At 37.1% G+C, this 19501-nt stretch overlaps 1 protein-coding gene and 1 long non-coding RNA gene across 59 annotated transcripts in view; one reads left to right on the top strand and one right to left on the bottom strand.

Moving 5' to 3' along the window:
• LPP (LIM domain containing preferred translocation partner in lipoma) overlaps positions 1–19501 on the bottom strand; it is a 737651-nt gene that overhangs the window by 317693 nt on the left and 400457 nt on the right. Inside the window, exon 1 of one of the 58 annotated variants that reach the window (NM_001387676.1) lies at positions 3851–3974. The exons of the other annotated variants lie outside the window; for them this stretch is intronic. The gene's annotated coding sequence lies outside the window, so the exon portion shown is untranslated. Of the gene's footprint in view, positions 1–3850; positions 3975–19501 lie in introns of those variants that run through there. 58 annotated transcript variants of the gene reach the window in all.
• LPP-AS1 (LPP antisense RNA 1) lies at positions 4313–10742 on the top strand. The gene is made up of 2 exons (NR_046623.1): positions 4313–4604; positions 10540–10742. It is a non-coding gene; the product is annotated as an LPP antisense RNA 1 (long non-coding RNA).

Raw genomic sequence — 19501 nt, 5'->3', positions numbered from 1 at the left:
TAGTTTTGGCTAAGGAGCTATATAAGAAGTGACATGTATTACATCCAGGTCAAAGTGTGGAATTGCCAGTTTGAGACCCTCAGAGCTCTTTTACTCTGGCATGGAGGTCAAAAGTGTTGGAAATGACAACTATTAGTCTGCAAAGAACTCCTTCTGTCCTATGATGAACAAGTAGCATAAGTAAGAAATAAACCCTTGTTTTCAGTACCGAGATTTGGTAAGTATTTGTTACTACAGCACTACCTGAACTATCCTAACTAATAATTCTTACTTGGATTTACAAAGTGCTTACACCCCTATCATTCAATTTAATCCTCATAATGAAGAGAAAAGGGCAGAGTACACATATTTAGCAGACATGAATTTCAGCTCAATTTCATGCAATATTTACTGAATGAAATTCAGTAAGTCATAATGATACAGTTACAAATCAGGTTCTCTAGACTTTTGGTCAATCCAAAATATTCTTTCATTGCACTCTGCTCACATTAAAAAGCCTTAGGACCCTTAACTCTAATAATGTGTCTACCGACATTAACCTCTACCCAAATCCTAATGAGGAGTCTAACATTTATTGAGTTCTTACTACACTACCCCATCAAATCAAAGATGCTACTGATTATAAAATACACCATTAGCTATTACAAAACCGGAAACAAAAATTACTACCATTTAAATTATAACATAGGGCTTTGTCGTTAGAATATATATTACATGTTTGTTGAAATAAATGGCTTAAAATTATCCATAGTTTTTTTATCATATGTCACCCCTCTACATACATAAAAAGCAAAATATAAGTGCAACAAATGAAAGCATTCCAAAAATTTCTTTACGTTTAAATTTCAACCCTTTGAATTACTTTTCAAGTCAAAATCATGGAAGTTCTATGTTTTCCTCATTATACTGACCTCTGGGCCATCAAGAGTCTTAATAAAAAAGGGGTCCACTATTGACTCCAGGATTTTCTTCCAAGTCACTAATCTCCATAGACAGCAGATTTTGATGTACAAGTACAGACAATGGCCGCTATGTCATGATTACCACGTAACAGTAATTAGTCAGAAATGTTAAGCATGTGAATCGGTCTCAGAATTGATGACATATGTGAGAGGAACAGCGCCTAACTGATGTCTCCGCAACTGTATGAAGTAGGCATTGTATTACTACAATAATTTTGAAGTCAGGAATTGAGGCATGGAGAGATTAAGCTTCCTGTTGAATGTTACCCAGCTGGCAAGCGGAGGATACAGAGTGTTCCATCTAAGGCAGTCTGACATCTTTAGAGGAGCTGCTCTTAGCAAATACGCTGTATGACTTCTCATAATAACAATTAGATTGGCTTTTTATTATTTATTTGTTTACTTTTTGATGGTGGGGGCATAAGACTTACAAACTCTAAGGGAAGTGCTCAAACACTTAAGTCTTATACAGTTTACATAATGGGCTGTTTATTTTGTTTAAAGCAAACCAAAAGGAAATTGGCTCTAATATTACTACCAGCTCATTTTTGAAACAAGTAGAAAGACCTCAGGGGTTCTTTTTTTTTTGTGATCCTAGAAAGAGATATTGGAAACATTTGCATACAGTCCTATCTTCTGAAAATATTGGGATGTAAGTGCAGTGAACACAGATATATAACATCTATCTATACCTACTAGGACATACATGTGGTAGATCTTAAAACACACTTTTATTGCATTTAGTTTTATATTGGTGTCTATGTTTATACATGAACATGAATGTGAGAAAGGCAAAGAAATCACCACTACTAAACATGGGAGGGCCAAATGTGTGCTTGATCCTCATGGAGCATGAAATAAGACTTAATCTTTGCCCAGAAGGAAAATCTTCCTGAACAAGTATAATGATTGATTTTTTTTTCTTTAGCAGTTCTTTATCTCTTCTCCTTTTTTAAGGACAGTTAGCACAACTGAACAATTACTTGGGAGGTACAATACAAAGCTTTGAGCGTAGCTCTTTATACACTTATCAAATGAGTATAATTTGCTATAATTCTTCCTCCTGATTATATACAGTAGCTATTTCATTCTCTAAATAATATCTTATACTTTTTTTTAGAAGTTGGTTAAATTGCTTAGGAGGAGAATATTAGGCTCAGTTTCTTTGAAGGGTAATATAGTGGGAGTGACTGTATAATTATCTCTAGCGGGCTTTCACCCACCATACAATGTCGTCTACTAGATCTATTGCTTTCCTGTTGAGAACTCCAGTTAATCCTACTAGCTAGCACACAGGAGAATGAGGCAGGCAAATTTTATTTTTAACTAAGGACTGAGAGCATAAGAGAAGGAAATACTAAGATTGATTAAATCTGGTGCATTTGCAATTTTTATTTTAAGCCATTTCAGATATATGTGCTACCCAATAGGTACACTAATTGAGACATTACAGTCCTTTGTGTAGCGTGTCCTATCTGGTACTCTCTGCCTGAGACCAATTGTCCTTTAAGCCACTCCACAGCTGGGCTATTTTATGCCTTGCAATTACTACTCTATTCTGGATGGGGAGTTTTATTTTATTTTAAATTGATGTGGATTTTATTCTCAAAATGCCAAGCATTCCAAATGCTTCATACATACTAAGTTTTTAAAAACAATTCAATGACTTCCAGGAGAGAGAAGTTTAACATAAGCCATTCACCAAAAACATCAGGATTTCTACAATAATTTCTTTCTCCAATATTGCTTAATAGTTTGTCTATGTGCCTTACCTGCAAGACAGAACTCCAGGGTAGGGTCTCAGGCAGTCTTACTCATATGCCTTTGACCAATGACTGCCACAAGGCCTGTCACTTTTACCCTTCTCTGCATCAAATTATGAATAGAGTACACTAATTGCATGCAGAAGTTAGAAATGATATGGTCAAACAATGTTATTCTCCTGAATTAGTGATTAAGGCTATCAGATTGTGACTACTCAAAAAAAAAAAAAGCCATTAAACTGAAGTTGCCATTCATACAAACTGACTACCACTAAAGTAGATTTGAGGTTATCTAGGGTTAGAGTGAGAATGGGAAGCAAATGAGCATGGACTTTTTAAATGTTCTAAAATTAAATTGAGGTAATGATTGCATGACTCTGTAAATAAATTACAAATCACTGAATTGTAAAAAAGCAAAATAAAAACTTTTTGCCAAATATCCCTCTTCACTAACACAGGGACTGTTAGTATTTTCAGTTGTGCCTTTAGTGGCCAATTCATACATTTAGGCTTTGGAGCCAGATGGCCGAGGCTGAAACATGACCTCTGCCACTTAGTGCCTCGATGAGTTACATACAACCTTCTGGGCCACAATTTCCTCTGCTGAAAAATGGGAGAAATGACAGGCTACATCATTGGATTACTAAGAAAAATAAGTGAATTGATTTGTGGAAGTGATACAGTAACTTCTCAATAAATGTTTAGTTACCAATCCATATCTTTTATTTAATTATAATTTTTAATATCAGAAATAATTGGCTATTGCTGCAAAGGGTTAATCTGATGGGGAATTCTACATAAAATTCTTTGTAGATAAGCACTATCCTACACAATACAGATGACATACTTCTAATTTTCATTCACAATCCAGGGCCCCTCCAATTCAAGTATATTCAGATTATCTTTCTAAAGCATGCTTCTCATTTTTTCCTCAAACTTTCAATGCTCCTGTCTTCCCCCCAGACTCCTGTCCCTAGTGCCTGCAACTGCCTACAAGGACAAGGTACAGAACATATAAAGTCATTGCATTGCACCGAATCCAATTGTAAGCGGCTCTCCGAACCCTCACCAATTTATTATTATTATTATTATTATTTGGCTGTTTTCTTTCTCTGTGCCACTTACTCCATTTTCCAGATACTTCAAATTCCTCACTCAGCCAAAAACACCATTCTTTCACGCAAATCTTCCTTTCACAATTGCAATTTCTTCTGCCTAGACTGTGGTCAGCCTTGAAAAACTCCTGTACATCCTTTGTGACCCAACTCGAATGTCACATCCTCTAGCTGACCTCAATCTTCATTGTGACCTCATAATAAGACATATACACCCCTACTGAAGCGTAAGTTCCCCCTCTCCACCCTTCAGGCCCTGCAGCCACTGTCTGCCCACACAGTCCCAAATGTTATCACAATACTAAGCTATTGTGCATTATATGTGATTCACCTCAGAGCCACAGCATATTTTCTTTTCTCTTCCAGAAAAACTTCTTCCTCTCTACTTTCCCCAAGCCACTCACCTCGCAAACTCCTACAAGTTTGTCAGACCTCAGTTTAGTTCAGATCGGATGCATTCAGGGTGTTATGGCAGGAGACAGACATGATCATAGGAAACTTCCTCAGATCTTCCAAGACTAGGTTTGCTTTGTCCCTGAATATGCTTCCAGAGTACCCTCTGCTGACCCTGAGTACTGGTCTATAGCACCAAATGGAAGACTGTCTGTCGATACACATTTTGTGACAGGCTCAGTTTTGTATAACTATTGTCAATCTCCATAACCCTAGCACATAGGAAGTCTCTGGCACATATCAGATGCTCAATATCGGTTGAGTGAATGTATTAATCATCTCCTTTAAAACCAGAGTCAGTGGATTGAAGGGTAAGTATATTATATCTCAAAAAGCTATTATTTAAAAATAAATCTGAATTACCAGTCTATCTTTCTCATTGTAGTTTTACCTCTCAGTTGCTGGACAGAGGTCTTACATGCTTGCATCCCTATCGTGGAGCCTGAAACCTACAAGTTGCTCAATAATGTTTACTGAAATTTCATAAAAATAAAATATTATGCCAGATTCTCAGCCACTGAACTACTTTCTACAAATGACCAATTTATATGAAGCTCCTCAGTAGGTAAATTGATAGTGATATCACAAATCAAGCAGCTGGAAGATTCACTGCTTTCAACATTCACATTTCACAACTAACAATTGGGTCCAGTAAGTGAATTACCCGAGATCGTGCAAATAGGATCACAAAGAATGCCTTCTCCCTAATCAATATCATTAGTGGTATCTAACTTAGAAAGACTGTTGTAATCACAGTAGTCAGATTTAGTGTTATGAGTATGGACTCTGCCAGCAACAAATCACCAAATACAGGTGATGAAAGCTATAGCTAGAAATAAATAGATCACTAGTGGGTTTTTGAAAACATGATCAGATTAAACAGGTGTTGATATGCATGAGAAGAGGAATAAACTCTTGGTTTGATGTAAGTCATTATTTGGCAGTTGTGTAATATCTGATAATCCTTCTAGGCTCTATTTACTCAAAGACCAGGAACTATAAGTATATCTGCTTCATAGGACAGAAGCCAGTGAAATTGGAGACAAATATTTTACATACCACAAATATGGTATTCAGGCAATGATGATAACAGCATCATTCTATAAGACCAACTGTATGACAGGCTTTGTTTTAAGCACTTTAGACACACTTTACACACGGCTTTGACTATAAACTGCATCTTTTTTTTTCCCTACTAACCTACTAACAAAGAACCAACAGGTGTCACTTAATATGTGTTACAATGGTTTCTTACCACATCAATCATAGGATGTGTTTCAATTTTCAAGAAATTAAACTGTGAGAAAGATATTTTATAGGATACAAGTAATAGAGTATAATACATTTAATAGTCCTAACAATCCTATGAGATGGGTCCTATTATCATCCCCATTTTAATGATGTGGAAGTTGAGGCGCAGAGAGGTTAAGGAACTTGTTCAAGGTTACATAAAAGCTTTAATGACGAGAAAAGTTTAACAGAGACTCAAAAAGTTTTACAGCGTCATCTCTCAGAAGCCCATAAAATGCTAAGAATTAGGTTTGTTTCTCTAAATCATACAATTGAACCAGTAAACTTTCCTCACTGAAGGGTATGGTGTCCTGAGATCTAAGAATTCTCATGGCAAAGTATTATGAAAATAAAAGTAGAAAGATAGCAATTTTAAACTCTTCAAGTTTTTATAATTTGCATCCTCTTTGCATTTATATAGCTCAGTTTGTATCAGACCAATTTGCACTCATTTGGATTTTGCTTTTAAGTTTTCTAAATCCTTTCATTTATCTGTTTTCTGTATGCATAAAGATACTGTAACTATTCTGGAAATGATAGTGTATTTGTTTTTCGATCTCCTTACTCCCCTTCTCCACCCTCCAAGCCTTGCTCTGAGCTTAGTGGGCATTAAATAAGTGTTGCTGACTAATTAAAGGCAAATTGGAGATCCAATTTGGCATCATATCCCAAAGCATGATATTAAAAAACACACAACTCAAGCATAGATTGTTAGCTTCTCGTATATGATTAGTGGTATTCTTGGTATAATTTACATAGTGAGAGAACATGGCTTTTTGAACTAAGCAGAAACATCCAAGGATTTGGTATGAATGTTGGAGGGAGAGTTGGGAGGAGGATCAAAGGAACACATTAAGAGATGAGACTGTGATTTGACTATGACTTGATCATCGAATAGAGTCCTTAGGCTGATCACAGTTAAGATACATATTTTTAAATCTGAGTTATTTGGTGAGGTAATGAGAGCTAACTAATAAAGCTAACATGAAATATGATACAGAAAATATGACACAGTTCCCATCAATGTTCATTTTCAAAACAATATTATTTTATGTATAAAATCATCTCTAAGCACAGAAAGGTTGTTTGCTGACTCTTGCTCCCACATATGAAAGTCAAGATATGATATTCCAGATCACCTGTGAAATTCTAACATGGTTATTAGGAACAGCAATCAAAGTGTAAGCACTTTTCCATCGTCTTGTAATCGTGCAAGGGAAGATTGAAAAGAAACACAACTGTATAATTTTCAAATTTTTCCTCATCAAAGACACTGGTTAATTGGGAAGTTATTGAGAATATAAAGTTAAATCTTGTTAATCCTTTTCCTATCATATGAAAATTCCTATTAACCACACGATGAAACCTTCTTTTCTCACACGCAGGTTAAACTAAAAGCTATTCCAAAATCCCTCACCTCTAAGCCCTAAGTGACACTGTGCAATCTCCTACCCACACCTCTCTTTACGGTAAATAGAGAAGAGGTGCACATTCTGGCAAACACATTAGTCCTCATCTACCAAAGTGAAAATCTGTGAGCTAAGAAACTTCTATACATTGTCCAGTAGTACATGTTTATAAAAATAACCTTGAAGCTTAGTCAAAGTCTCTCTGAAGTTATCAAATATTGAATGTTTTTCATTATTTTAATATCAAATATGTCTTCATTCTATTTGGTACTTTAAGTTTCTTTGCCATAATAAGATATAATATACATCAGACAAACATATTTAGGAAAAAACAAAAACCCCGTTCAGTTTTAAAACTGCCAAAAATGTTAGCTTTGAATGGGCAAAAATAGAATAAAGCTTCTTGAAAGTTATCAAAGTCTAATAGTATCTCACGATTGCTTTCTAATGGGCTCATTACTATGTTAGTTTTGCTTATCAGAAGTTTAAATTACAGGTTTACAGATAAACCGTTTTAAAACCAGAATGAAAACTAAATACTAGTGGAACATTGGTCTACAGACCAAAGCAAGAGGCAGTCAGAAAGTGAGAGGAGCGGATCTCTAAGGTCCACAACTTGTTTACTTGCAAACATCTGGGGTGAAGTCCCAGCCTCAGATATTTGGTTTGCCTTGACTTTATAAATTTCTCTCTGTGATAGAGAAGTACATACAATGTTGTCTCTACCACACCAACCACTCTGTTTAAGCAAAACCCTCAAAAAGTTGCTTGTTTTAATAACTACATTGCCACAGTTTTGTAACAGGTAATTCTGCACTCTGGCCACAGCTAGTTGGATCAGACATTGAACCCAAACCAGACTAGATACCCAGGAGCTGTGTTGGAGGAAGAATTCCTCCTCCATGTGTACTGGAGAAGAACCAGCTAAAATAATGGTCCTGTTGGTTCAGGCTTTTCAGTGTAAGGATACAGAAAAAGAAAAGCTGGGAGCAGAGATGGAATGGAGCAAAAGCCAGAGACACACGGCGTAGGATGAGGAGGCCATGAGGCAGGAGGACATCATATAACGAACATCCTAGTGTTCAGAAGAAGACTAAACAGAATCACTAACAGGAGCTGCCACAGAAAACAGAAGGAAAATTGAAGAAAGCTAAGTCCTTGTCCAACAAAGACCCACCGGACAAGGAAACACTGGATGTTTATTTCTGAGGAATGACAAAATCAGCTGCTGTTGTGTCCTCAATGATATTCCAAGTCTCCATGAGGCTTGGTTGTCTAGTTGCTGACATGGGTTTTTGGACTTCCTTCCTTCTCCCTGTATATTACCATAAATTCCCATCATCTAAAGTCATCTGAGGTAACTTTAAGCACATCTTGGTTCCTGCAACCTGAAAGGACCTAACTAAAACAGACCCAAGAAACGATTTCTTTATTTTAAAAGAACTTAGACACACATAATTCTGGCTCATCCTGGTATATTATGGTTTTAAAAAATGACTAAATCTATTAACAGAAGGAAAATAAATAAATAAAAGAGAAGGATAGGGGAGAGAGTTTATTTTGTGTCTCTCTGCTTATAAAGCACAACAACACATTATCTGTGATTTGGGAATTATCCGTGAGGATGCTCCTCTGCGATCTGTAATATCATAAAAGCTAGGCAGATTAGCTCTATTCTCTTACATACCTACATTTTCAGATATTATCCCCTACTAATTACCCTCAGTAGGACCAGCTGCGAATGGTGGAAAGAAGGAGTATGGCATGGAAGGTGGACCTGACTCTGGACCTTCCTATCATAGAATCAGTATAGAGAATTCAATTATATTTTTTAAAGTCTGATTATGCAAAACACTTGTTTCTTAACAAAAAATAAGCTAAAGGTATTTTTTAGTGCATTGCTACATTTGCATTTTTAAATTATGGTAGTTATTTTTATTGCGTTAAGTACCTTATTCTATCTCAGCGAAGAGTCGTGGCTGTTTTAAGTAAACAAGACTGTTACAAGAATACCCTACTCTTCTTCCATGGTGAGTGCCTGTATTCAAACCACAGTGCCATGGAAAATAACTTCCCCAACATTTACTCTCTTGGCCACAAGTGTCTGTTTAGAGAAGTGTCTGGCTTGGTCTGAACAACACATCCCCAAGCAACTAAGTGGAAACCCAGGTCGATAACATGAGCTAAGATGAGGATTCTAACATTTGCGATGATGGCCCACACTGAATTTTGATAATCTCAAAAAAACAAAAAAAAAACAAAAAAAAACACAAGCAATTCCAATTCTGGATTCACATGTACACAAAGATACATATGCAAGGAAGCTCATCTTAACATTGTTTGTAATAAAGAAAAGCTGAAGCTCTCCACTATAAAAGAGACTCAGTGATGAACCCTTACACTATGGAGCACTATACAGAATTAAAAATAGTATGGCAAATCCTTTTTACTGACATGAAAAGATCCAGAGGAAAAGAACTGAAAAAAATAGATAATATACCACACACACACACACACACACACACATATATATGTAAATGTATACATAAATGTATAGATACATGCTTGGAAAGATGCACAACAAAAAGACAATGGTGATTACTCTTTGGAAAAAGAGTTGGGGTTGGCAGGGGAGAAAATGAATGGGTACTGAGGGAGGGCTGTTATGTTCAACTTCATATACTTCTCACTGCTGAAATCCGTTGTGATAATTTATTTGTATATTGCCAGCATATATATGCTTCAGTAAAGTTAAGGAACAGGCTGGTTCCACAACGTGGTCCAATGTACTGCACACATGTTTGGTTGGTGAGCCAGCACAGAGAATTAGAGGAACTATTCCATTCAAAATCAACAGGACCAAGAGTGAGGCTCAGTTCTACCATTTTAGAAGTAGTATTTAGCGTAACTCACTCAACCGTGTGTGTAATAGTGGGATGATGATTTCTGGCCAGGCAACCTCCTAGACTTGATGTGATAATGAACATAAAGCCACTCGACAAACTGCTAGGCACTCCACAAATCTCAAGTACTACTATTATTACCGTTTATATTATTTGACTTCCCAAATTTCCCTGGAGAGATATGGCTAAGTGTGTAATAACAAATCATTTGTTTTCAACTTCTCCCTTTGAACAACATTGTTTTATCCTATTTCCTTTCACTAAGGTCTGAAACTAAACATCAAACGAGGCCGTAGGATTTTATTTTATCTGTCACATACTGCTGTCATTAAACACACTTAAAATGAGTGGGTTCAGTTCAAATAAAACTGCTTCTTTCCCAAACTAACAAACATGAAGGGGAGAGAAAAGGAAGCTTGCACTTGAATCACATTCAGAAGTGCCGCACGTTACATTTCAAGGAGAAGATCCATCTGGCAGGCTGACACAGTAATCAGTTTTTACAATTATCAGGTCAGGCAGATTACAGATCCAGGCTGTCAATTCTTTCATTGCAGTTTTATTTTGTTATTGGTAGCTCATTCAAAAGAAGAAAACCCCTCCTAGTTATTCTATGTAAAAAAGCTATCTTCTCTCCTTTCTAGGATTGACTTCAGTAGGCAGCAATTCAGTCCAACAAATAAGGATCTATTACTGAGCATCAACTATGGTGAAACTGTGCTTGGTGGAAGTTCAAGAATGAATATATCAAAAGTCACGTCCTGCAGGAAGTCACAACCAACAACGGAGATAAACTGTTAAACTGAAAATGATCCTTGTATGAATTAAAGATGCTGGTACACTTGATTTTCATTGTCTTTTTTATGGAACTCCTTCTCAAATGTTCAGATCTACTTAATCTTGACAATTTATCTCTTTGCTGGCTGAGGTAAAAAGAGCAACAGGCAGTATAGGTCGTCAGGAGACCCTGAAAAGGGATGAGTGTGTGTGTTTGTATGTGTGTGTGTGTCTGTGTGTGTCTGTGTGTGTCTGTGTGTGCGTGATTATAAATAGTACACACTGTAGAAGCCTCCACATTCAGTCCACACTGCCCTCTTCTCAACCTTAACGCCAACTGCTCACAAGTCCATGCGCTGCAAATTCTCCATGAATCTCCAGGTTCTCATTAGAAAGTGCACTTTCAAACTGCTTTATCTTTACTCATAACAGTTTCCTCTTCTGGAATGTCTCCCTCCTCCAAATGCCCATTACACTTTAATTATGTTTCACATAGTCAGTGCTCAATAAATATCTGTGGAAATAAGTGAAGTCTCCTATCCTTATATGTAATGAGTATTTCCTTGCAAAATTAAAAAAAATGAAGCAGAGTAATTTAATCAAGTGGGAAGTAGAACATGCTAGACAATTTACCAAATAGGGTGGAAAAGAACCTTAGAAATGATCTACTTCAATGCTTTATAAAACATGAACTAGATGTTCACAGAAGTAAAGCGATTTGCCACATTCCAAATAATTGGTAGAAAAGGAAGGTCTAAAATCTGCTCCTCCGACTTTTAGTCCAGTGCTTGTTCTATACATGCTGTTTCCTTACATTTTTGAGAAATGACAGGGATGTGTACTGACAAGCTCAGTGGATTAATAAGTATAGAATGGATTTCCATTAAAGGAGAGAGGAGAAAATTCAAGGCTGCCATTAAAACTACGGCATTTTCTTCTACAGTAACTACCTATTGAGGCAATGTTTGGGACAATACACACTCAAGTATCAAGGGGACCACTCTCAATGGCCACGTTTTTTAAAAAAAGTTCACTGCCAAGTTTTGCAGAAGCCAATGGCAATGGTAAATTTCTACAATGAAGTGAAATATCCTTCGGGCTTAATAAGGAATTTAAAGTTACAAGTATATTAGAAAATGAAGAGAATGTAGATCCTACAGGCTTAAGAAAATGTTTGAAAGTTCAATTTCATTCTCATGCAAGAAAAACCAGATTTGTCTAGGGACTAATGAGTGCACAGACATTCAAACTTGGATTGGAAATCACATTTACATTCAGGCCAGGACCTGGGATTGGGAGAAGGATGCTGCTTGAAATCCAAGCTATGTAACTAACACCTACTGTGGGACTCCTGAGAACATCCTTTCATCTCCCATCCTGTTTCCTCATCTCTAAAATGTGGGTAAGAATCCCCATCTTCAGGAGTTACTACTGAGACTTCAATACTAATGAATAAATGAAGATACTTTGTAAACTCCCAGATATTAGGTAAATGCACTGACTTATTATCAAGAAGGAAGGACAGCCTTTGTAGAGGTTCTAGATCAGCCAGGCTCAGAAATGTTACTACTTCAGGGGCAATGGCAAGAACACATAGACTTTGAATTCCATAAAAAGAAGAAAACATAGAAAAAGATAGGCTTCATTACTTGAATATCCAGTAAATCAAAGCATAAGTGCATCAGCCTGAACAATCTATGTATCTCTGGAGAGAACTAAGGTATAGGATTGTCATTTAAATATGTGGAAGGATATGACTTGGCATGGGTCAAAGAGTAGGTTTATCTGAGAATCGGAACTGGAAGCCAGGACTACTGGAACCCACTTCATGACTCTTTCTCCTAAACTACATTACGTAGGAGATATGAAACAGTAGTAGCATGAGAAACAGATAAGGACATTGACATCGCATTGCTGCTGAATGGTTGTTGAGTAGTGATTTGAGACCTCACTGAATTGCATAGAATCCCAAGTGATGACTGCAGACCATTTTCCCTCTTTATCTGTGCATAGACGACTCCTTGGTGGTAGCATAGCACAGAGATAAACCAGTGAAGAAGCAGAGATGCGTCAGAGACCCTGGACCATCTACAGAAGGGGAAGTAAACCTGCACCTACTACCTGTCAGTCTCTGTGTTAGATGCTCTCTATGCATTCTCTGTAATTATTCTAGCCATGTCAAAAAGTAAATATAATTATTCCTCTCTTACCAGTGAAGAGATTAGGATCTGGAGAAGTGAAATATCCTCCTAGCATTCAAAGAGCTGCTGAGTGGTGGAACCAGAATTGAGGCCCCAGATGCCACAGTGAGAACAGAAGCTCTTTCCACTTTGCCAAGTGGACAGCCACATTCCAAGTGCCAGCCCACAGACAGAGGGGTCTGAGGTCCTGGAAGTAGGAGGTCAGGAAAGCTGCTATGTGAAAAGCTGGCATTCAAAGAAGAAAGCGGTTTGGGGGAACAGTGTTACATTCACATTTTCTTAAGTGAGTTTATGTGAGGTAAGTGTTTTTATATTCTCGGACGAGAAATTGGAGGATTCTGGGTAGCTTTTTAAAAGTAAACATATTTCCCATTGTGGTACTGGCATAGTAAAAGAATAATAAAATATGTATAAATATAAATATAACTGGAGGGGGTGAGGTGTTGAATGACTCGGACAGAGGGGCTAACATCAGGTCTTGTCTTCCTGCCTTGAGTGAAACTATTGACTCTACGAACACGGAAATACAAGAGTGAGAAACAACATTTTTAATTGTTTTCCTTTCTATAAAGACTAAGACATACTATAGTTCCAGGCTTCATATAACTAGAGCTCTTATAGTACCATCATCTTTAACTCATAAAAATCAAATTGTATTACTGCCTTATCATAATGTGCAAAGTGTTTCTTGCTTGGTGCATATTTCACACATCATTTTACACTCACACGAGATCCTGAACAGGTTACACTACATATATATCTGATAGAACATTTAGGACCCAATTTTCACCATCATTGAGCAGCCTTATGCAATTCAAATATTCAAAAATGTGTGAATAATCTGGTGCCTGTTGTCACGATGGTGAGCCAGTTAACAGCTGAAGGTTGAGTCATATGTCATCACAAGGAATTACTCTGAATCCCACCTAGAATTCCAGTCTAGGATGCTTGGCTGCAAGAGCCACTGACAATTAACTACATCAGCTCCCTCATGTTACATCTGGGGAGACTAAGGCCTAGACAGAGGCAAGGAAATGTTCAAGGTCATATAGCTAGACAGGGGTAGAGGCAGTGCAGGCATTAGAACCCATGCATTTCATTACCTAATCTCTATAATACCGTCCTATCCTCTATTTGATACAAAAAAGTCAAGATCTTTATCAAAAACTCATCCTTTCCACCACGAATTCAAAATAGAACAAAAGCAGTGCTGCTTGGACAAAAGCTGAGTCATACACATTTCTTGGTAGGCAGAAATGAAATAAGTTAATAATAAGTTGTAACATCATTGCCCTTTAGATTCATCTTTTGACCATTGGCAAATCTGTGGTTTTATTCCACTTTTTTTGAGAACAGCAAGTGGGAGGTAGAAATGGCAAATTAACTGTGGTCTGTCAGTCATGGTAATGCTATTTACTATTTTTCTTAAAAAATGAATATTAAAGGTTTGAGTTTTTTACCCATTTGTTTTCATTTGTTCAGCAAACATTTGTTGATTGCCTAACCCATGCCAGATACCACAGGGTTAGACACAGTGGGAATCCCAGAAACGGAAGCACACTCAAACACACTTCCTACAATTCACAATTTTCCAGCCTTGTCAAGGAAGTTGAATCTACACAGCTGACCACAACCATAACAGGGTATATATGTGACAAGTGTCAAAAGAAACGTGTACAGCAACTCATACGGGGTAGGAGGCAGCTCCTCAGGTAAAAAATGAAGGGTGAGAGTGGCAGGTAGGAAGTGATGAATGGCATTGCAGGTAGATGATACGAACAGAGAAACAACCAAGAGCTAGAAAATTATAGAGCTCACTGAAGAGGTGTAAAAGAAGAGAGGATATGAACTCTACAGAGTACAGCACAGTGAGGTGGGAAAGTATGGTATGAATACATGCGTTTTCGTTCTGGTGTTTTTATTATATCAGTTTATCCAGAATGAGGGAGTTAGTTTAAGAGAAACACTCTTGTTTCTGTAGAAGGACAAAAGAACTCAGAGACAGATAAGGAACTTACTGGTTGAGGTAGAGATACTATTTTGTCGGAGTGCCTATGTGGAGTAAACAAGAAGGTGTACAAACACGCATGCTTTCTGCTCAAAAATACTGATAACATCCATTCTCTTTCTGGTCAAAAATACTGATAACATCCATGCTTTCTGCTCAAAAGTACTGATAACATCAGGGATCTTCTCTTTACCTGCTTGATGATTTATAACAAGAGGTACTGAAACTGGGCCCTCTCAACTCTTGTGTCTTCTGATGTCTTGTTTATTACAAGTACAGAAAAGAGAGCGCCAGAACATTCATATGCACATTCTGGGACTAGATAATATCTGGAATAAATTATGGCATTAGCAACAATAGAATTTACTTGTACAACCTCTAGTTTCCCTCATGTTCTTCTTGTCTCTCACCCTTACTCAGACAAATATGTTAGCCAATGTACAGTGTTTGTGGCATGGACTACACAGAGAGAGAGAGGCTAGGTGAGAAGTATAAATATAGCTTCTTTATTAGAAACTTATTACTCCTGACAAAGTAAACCAAGGAGTTGAAAATATTACCTTTTACCATCCAGACTACAACTATGTGAGCAAGGCAAGAATCAGCTGTTGCCATTTATGAATTGGCACAGGAATTGCAACAGATATTTGCTCATGATATCTCATTCTGTCCATGGACACAGTTCCTAAAATATACCACTCATTGCTGGTGTTGTTGCTTAATGTAGTCCTCCTAGCCCGGTGCTTGATTTAGATTTGCAAAACCGCTTTTCAAGAATCTAATAAACACAGTTTTGCTTTATTTCAGGTTTGTAAATAGTTACCTTTATTCGTGCATTTCAAAGAAGATAAAGGAAACAAATATCAAACCATCTTTTTTTTTGTAACGCATGAAGGCACGTCTGAAGATGTTAAAGGCACCATTATTTGAGTTTATAGAAATATGAATGAGAAGAATTCAACATAAGAGGCCATTTTAAGTTCTAGGTCCCAGAAATAGAAAGGGAGGGAAGACTTCACAAAGCTATCTACCGTAGGGCAAGAACACCAATCCCAAAGGTCAACTATCCTGCATGATATACCTCAGGATCACTTTAAAAGGTGAGAAAATTACAGAGGGTCATGCCTGTGAAATAATTTACAGAGAAAAGGAACTCAGATTAACAAGACATTAACTATTATTTTAGGAAATTTAAGTCATTTATTTATTTATAGGTAATTCCAGTAATTAAGAGTTTACCCTATCACTTCTACATTAAGTATTGGAATGACCTTGAAGGTGAAATGTCAATCAATCACCAGGGCATTCAGAAACCTGGATTTCAAGCCTGAAGTGCCAAAAGTGCCAACCCTTGCATAAGGTTCTAAGATATGAACAAGCTATGGTTTCGCAGAGCATTCACAATCTGGAGAACTATGTGGAAGTAATTAGATCATAATGAGGTTAATTCATGTAATGATTAAAAAAACTGAAAAAAAATCAAACCAAAAAAACAAAAAGGCAGAAAATAGTGCAACCGACTCAAGCACAACTCTAGAAAGAGTTTGTATGATTTTCAGGGTAAGAAGGAAATATAAGTCAGGTGTAATTTTATAGATGTTAGTGATCATTTTATTCTTAATCACTAGAGCTAACAATTATTGGTAATTTACTATATGACAGACACTATGGTATATGTTTAATTTTTGCAATCTTCCCAATAAACCTATGAGACAAAACATATCATTTCTTTCCTTTCAAAAGTAAAACAAACAAACAAAAAAAACTGAAGCACACAGAAGGGTTAATTAAACTTTCCAAGCTCAAACAACTAGTAAATATGAAACTAGGATTTGACCTCAGACAGGGCAACTCCAGAGCCCTTGTATTTAACCAATATTTAGAGGGGCCTCGACTTTGACAAAAAGTAAGGCAAGTGTGAGCAAATAGCTCAGAAGAGTAACGATAACTGTTCTTATCAAGGCAATCCTCAACTAAGATCTAGATCCATTGGTCCAACTTTTAATCCTCATGGCATTTGATCCAATGGTGTGGATACCTTGATCACACACTCACTCTTGAAGCACATTTTTCACTTCATTTCTGGACACCACTGTCCTTTGCATTTCCTCCTACCTCAGTGTTTCTTGTCCCAAGCATTCTTTAATAGTTCCTCTATTTTCTCCATGACATCAAAATATTCATGGCTTCCTCCATTACCTTAGGTGATATGATCCAGGCTCAAAGCTCTAAATGTATATCTGCTGACACCTACACCTATATCAAGTCAAGAGCCTGCCCTTGTACCCCAGACTCAAATATACAGCTGTCTACTCAACCAATACTCGAATCTCTAAAAGATAGCTCAAATATAACATATTCAAAGCCAAATGGCTGATCATCCTTTCTCCTTTCTCTTCTAAACAACAAAAACAGAAGCAAAATTAATCTTCCTGTCTCCAGAAATCTCACTAAATAGCAATTCCATTCTTCTCCTTGCTCAGGGTAAAAACCTAGGAGCCATTCTTGACTCTTCTATTACTCTTATATTCCACATCTGATCTGCTCACAATAGTTGTTGAGGCTGCAATGGAAATATATCCAGAATCCCACTACTTCTTATCCCCTCCCCAACACCAACTATACCTACCAAGTCCAACCAACTATCATTTTGAGTTTGATTGTAATTTCTAGTTTGTGTTGTCACTTCTGGTTTGGATTACCACATAGCCTACAGAAAGCTGCCTGAGTGATCCTTAACATAAGCCTGATAATGTGACTCCAAATGCTCTCCATCTCACTTAAACTAAGAATAAGAGGTCCTATGAGGTTCTATGTGATCATGAGGGCCCCTGCTACCTCCCTAACCTTATTTTTCCTCACTTCCTTGGGATCACTTGGCTTCAGGCACCCTTGGCTACTTCACTCTTTCTTAAAAATGCCAGATGCCAGCCATGATCTTCTCAGACTTTTCACGCTTGTGCTTCCCTCTGTCTATAACATGCTTATCCCAAATATCTGCAGAGCTCACTTCCTCACCTCCTTGAGATCTCTCCTCAAATATCTCTTCCTCTTAAGGCTTTTCTTAACCACTTTGTGCAGAATAGCAACTATGGCTCCACTCAACCCAAAGCACTCTTTCACTTTTATCTTGCTTTATTTTTCTCTATAGAACCTAACATGTTTACTATGCCTCTCCCACAGTAATATAAACTCTTTTAAGAAAATACACATTGTTTTATGCATAGCTGTACCCTCACCCTCTATAAGACAGCTTGCCACCCAATAAGTCTTCAATAAATATGTCATAATAACAAAATAAATGACTCCTCTGGTTATTCTTATTGGAGTTCTAGAAATAAGACTCAACTTGAAGAACCCAATAGTATAAAAAGTAATGCAGCAGTGTAAGCACTTCTAAAACTGGCTTGTTGATTTGGAATCAAAGTAAAATATTATATGTCACCATAGATTTGGATTGTGAGTCATAGACTATTAAACTTGGGAGGCAGCTGTGCTGGACTAGAAAGAGAGTAACTTGGAGTCAGGTGATGATAGTTGCAGGCTTGGCAGAGCCACTGATCTGCTGCAAACCTTCAGACAAACAGCTTCAACTCTATGGGTTCTCCTATTCCATCTAAATAAAAGAACGCATCACTGTAAATCTCTAGTGTTCCATAATCTGGTATAAATTGAACTACAACTTGTTCAAAAATATTCTTTTGGGGTTTGTTTACAGGACATATCTTGCTGTTGTCAGCTCTATTTGCAAGTTAGAAAAGAAGTCACATTTGAAATTGTGTGGCTATTCTGAAAAATTATGTCACATCAATAACACATAAAGTAGGGGATAGAAGGTTTTTCCTCTCCATGCACCACAGTGGGTGGTAGATATTATCAACTACAACACAGAAGAAACAAGTTTTCAGGAGGCTAAATTCTTCCAGAAAATCTTTCTTTTTTTTAAAAAAAAGCATCAAATTCACACGTGAGAAACAACTTGCAGTTTTCCTTCAAATGTATTTATTTCTGATTCTTGATATACAGTCTCACAGATGCATGGGATGTGATACATTGTTTTCTCATAAGCAATAGAGATGACCTTTAAAAATGCACCCCCTTTTATCCCCCAGCCTGCAATCCCATGAAGATGAAAGCCAGTTTGCTATTCTGCATTAACATTTCTGTGATCAGATATAGTGTGGGCACCTCAATTCTATCTGTGTCAAGACATTTTCACACAAGTGACTCACTCGGTAGAAGCTCAGGCATTGAACACCACTCTGACACCATCTCCTTTGAGGTTGATTCCACTTTGCTGGTGTTACCAGCCAACATCCTGTTTAGCTGCTTTCCTCTGCAACACAACAGTGTAATTGGAAGTGACTGAATAATAAATCTCAATTTCTCTGTTTCATCAAGAGAATCTTCCAATTTACTAGGCTTCTTCTATTCACCAGTTCATCTTCTGCATTATGAATCATTCTTGAACAAACACACAAGTTAACTGTCCGTTCCTATGTTAAAAACACGGTGTAGCAGGGATAATTCTTTCATTAGATTTCCTAGATCTGTTTTGTGGGGATCTCAAAGAAAAGCTAGTGTTGAATATATAGACAGGTCATCCACCTCCTCACATGG

Source organism: Homo sapiens, chromosome 3, assembly GCF_000001405.40.
Source record: "Homo sapiens chromosome 3, GRCh38.p14 Primary Assembly".
NCBI classification, from domain to species: Eukaryota; Metazoa; Chordata; class Mammalia; order Primates; family Hominidae; genus Homo; species Homo sapiens.
Note: the sequence above shows the minus strand (reverse complement) of the source record. Positions and strands in the feature narration are given on the sequence as shown.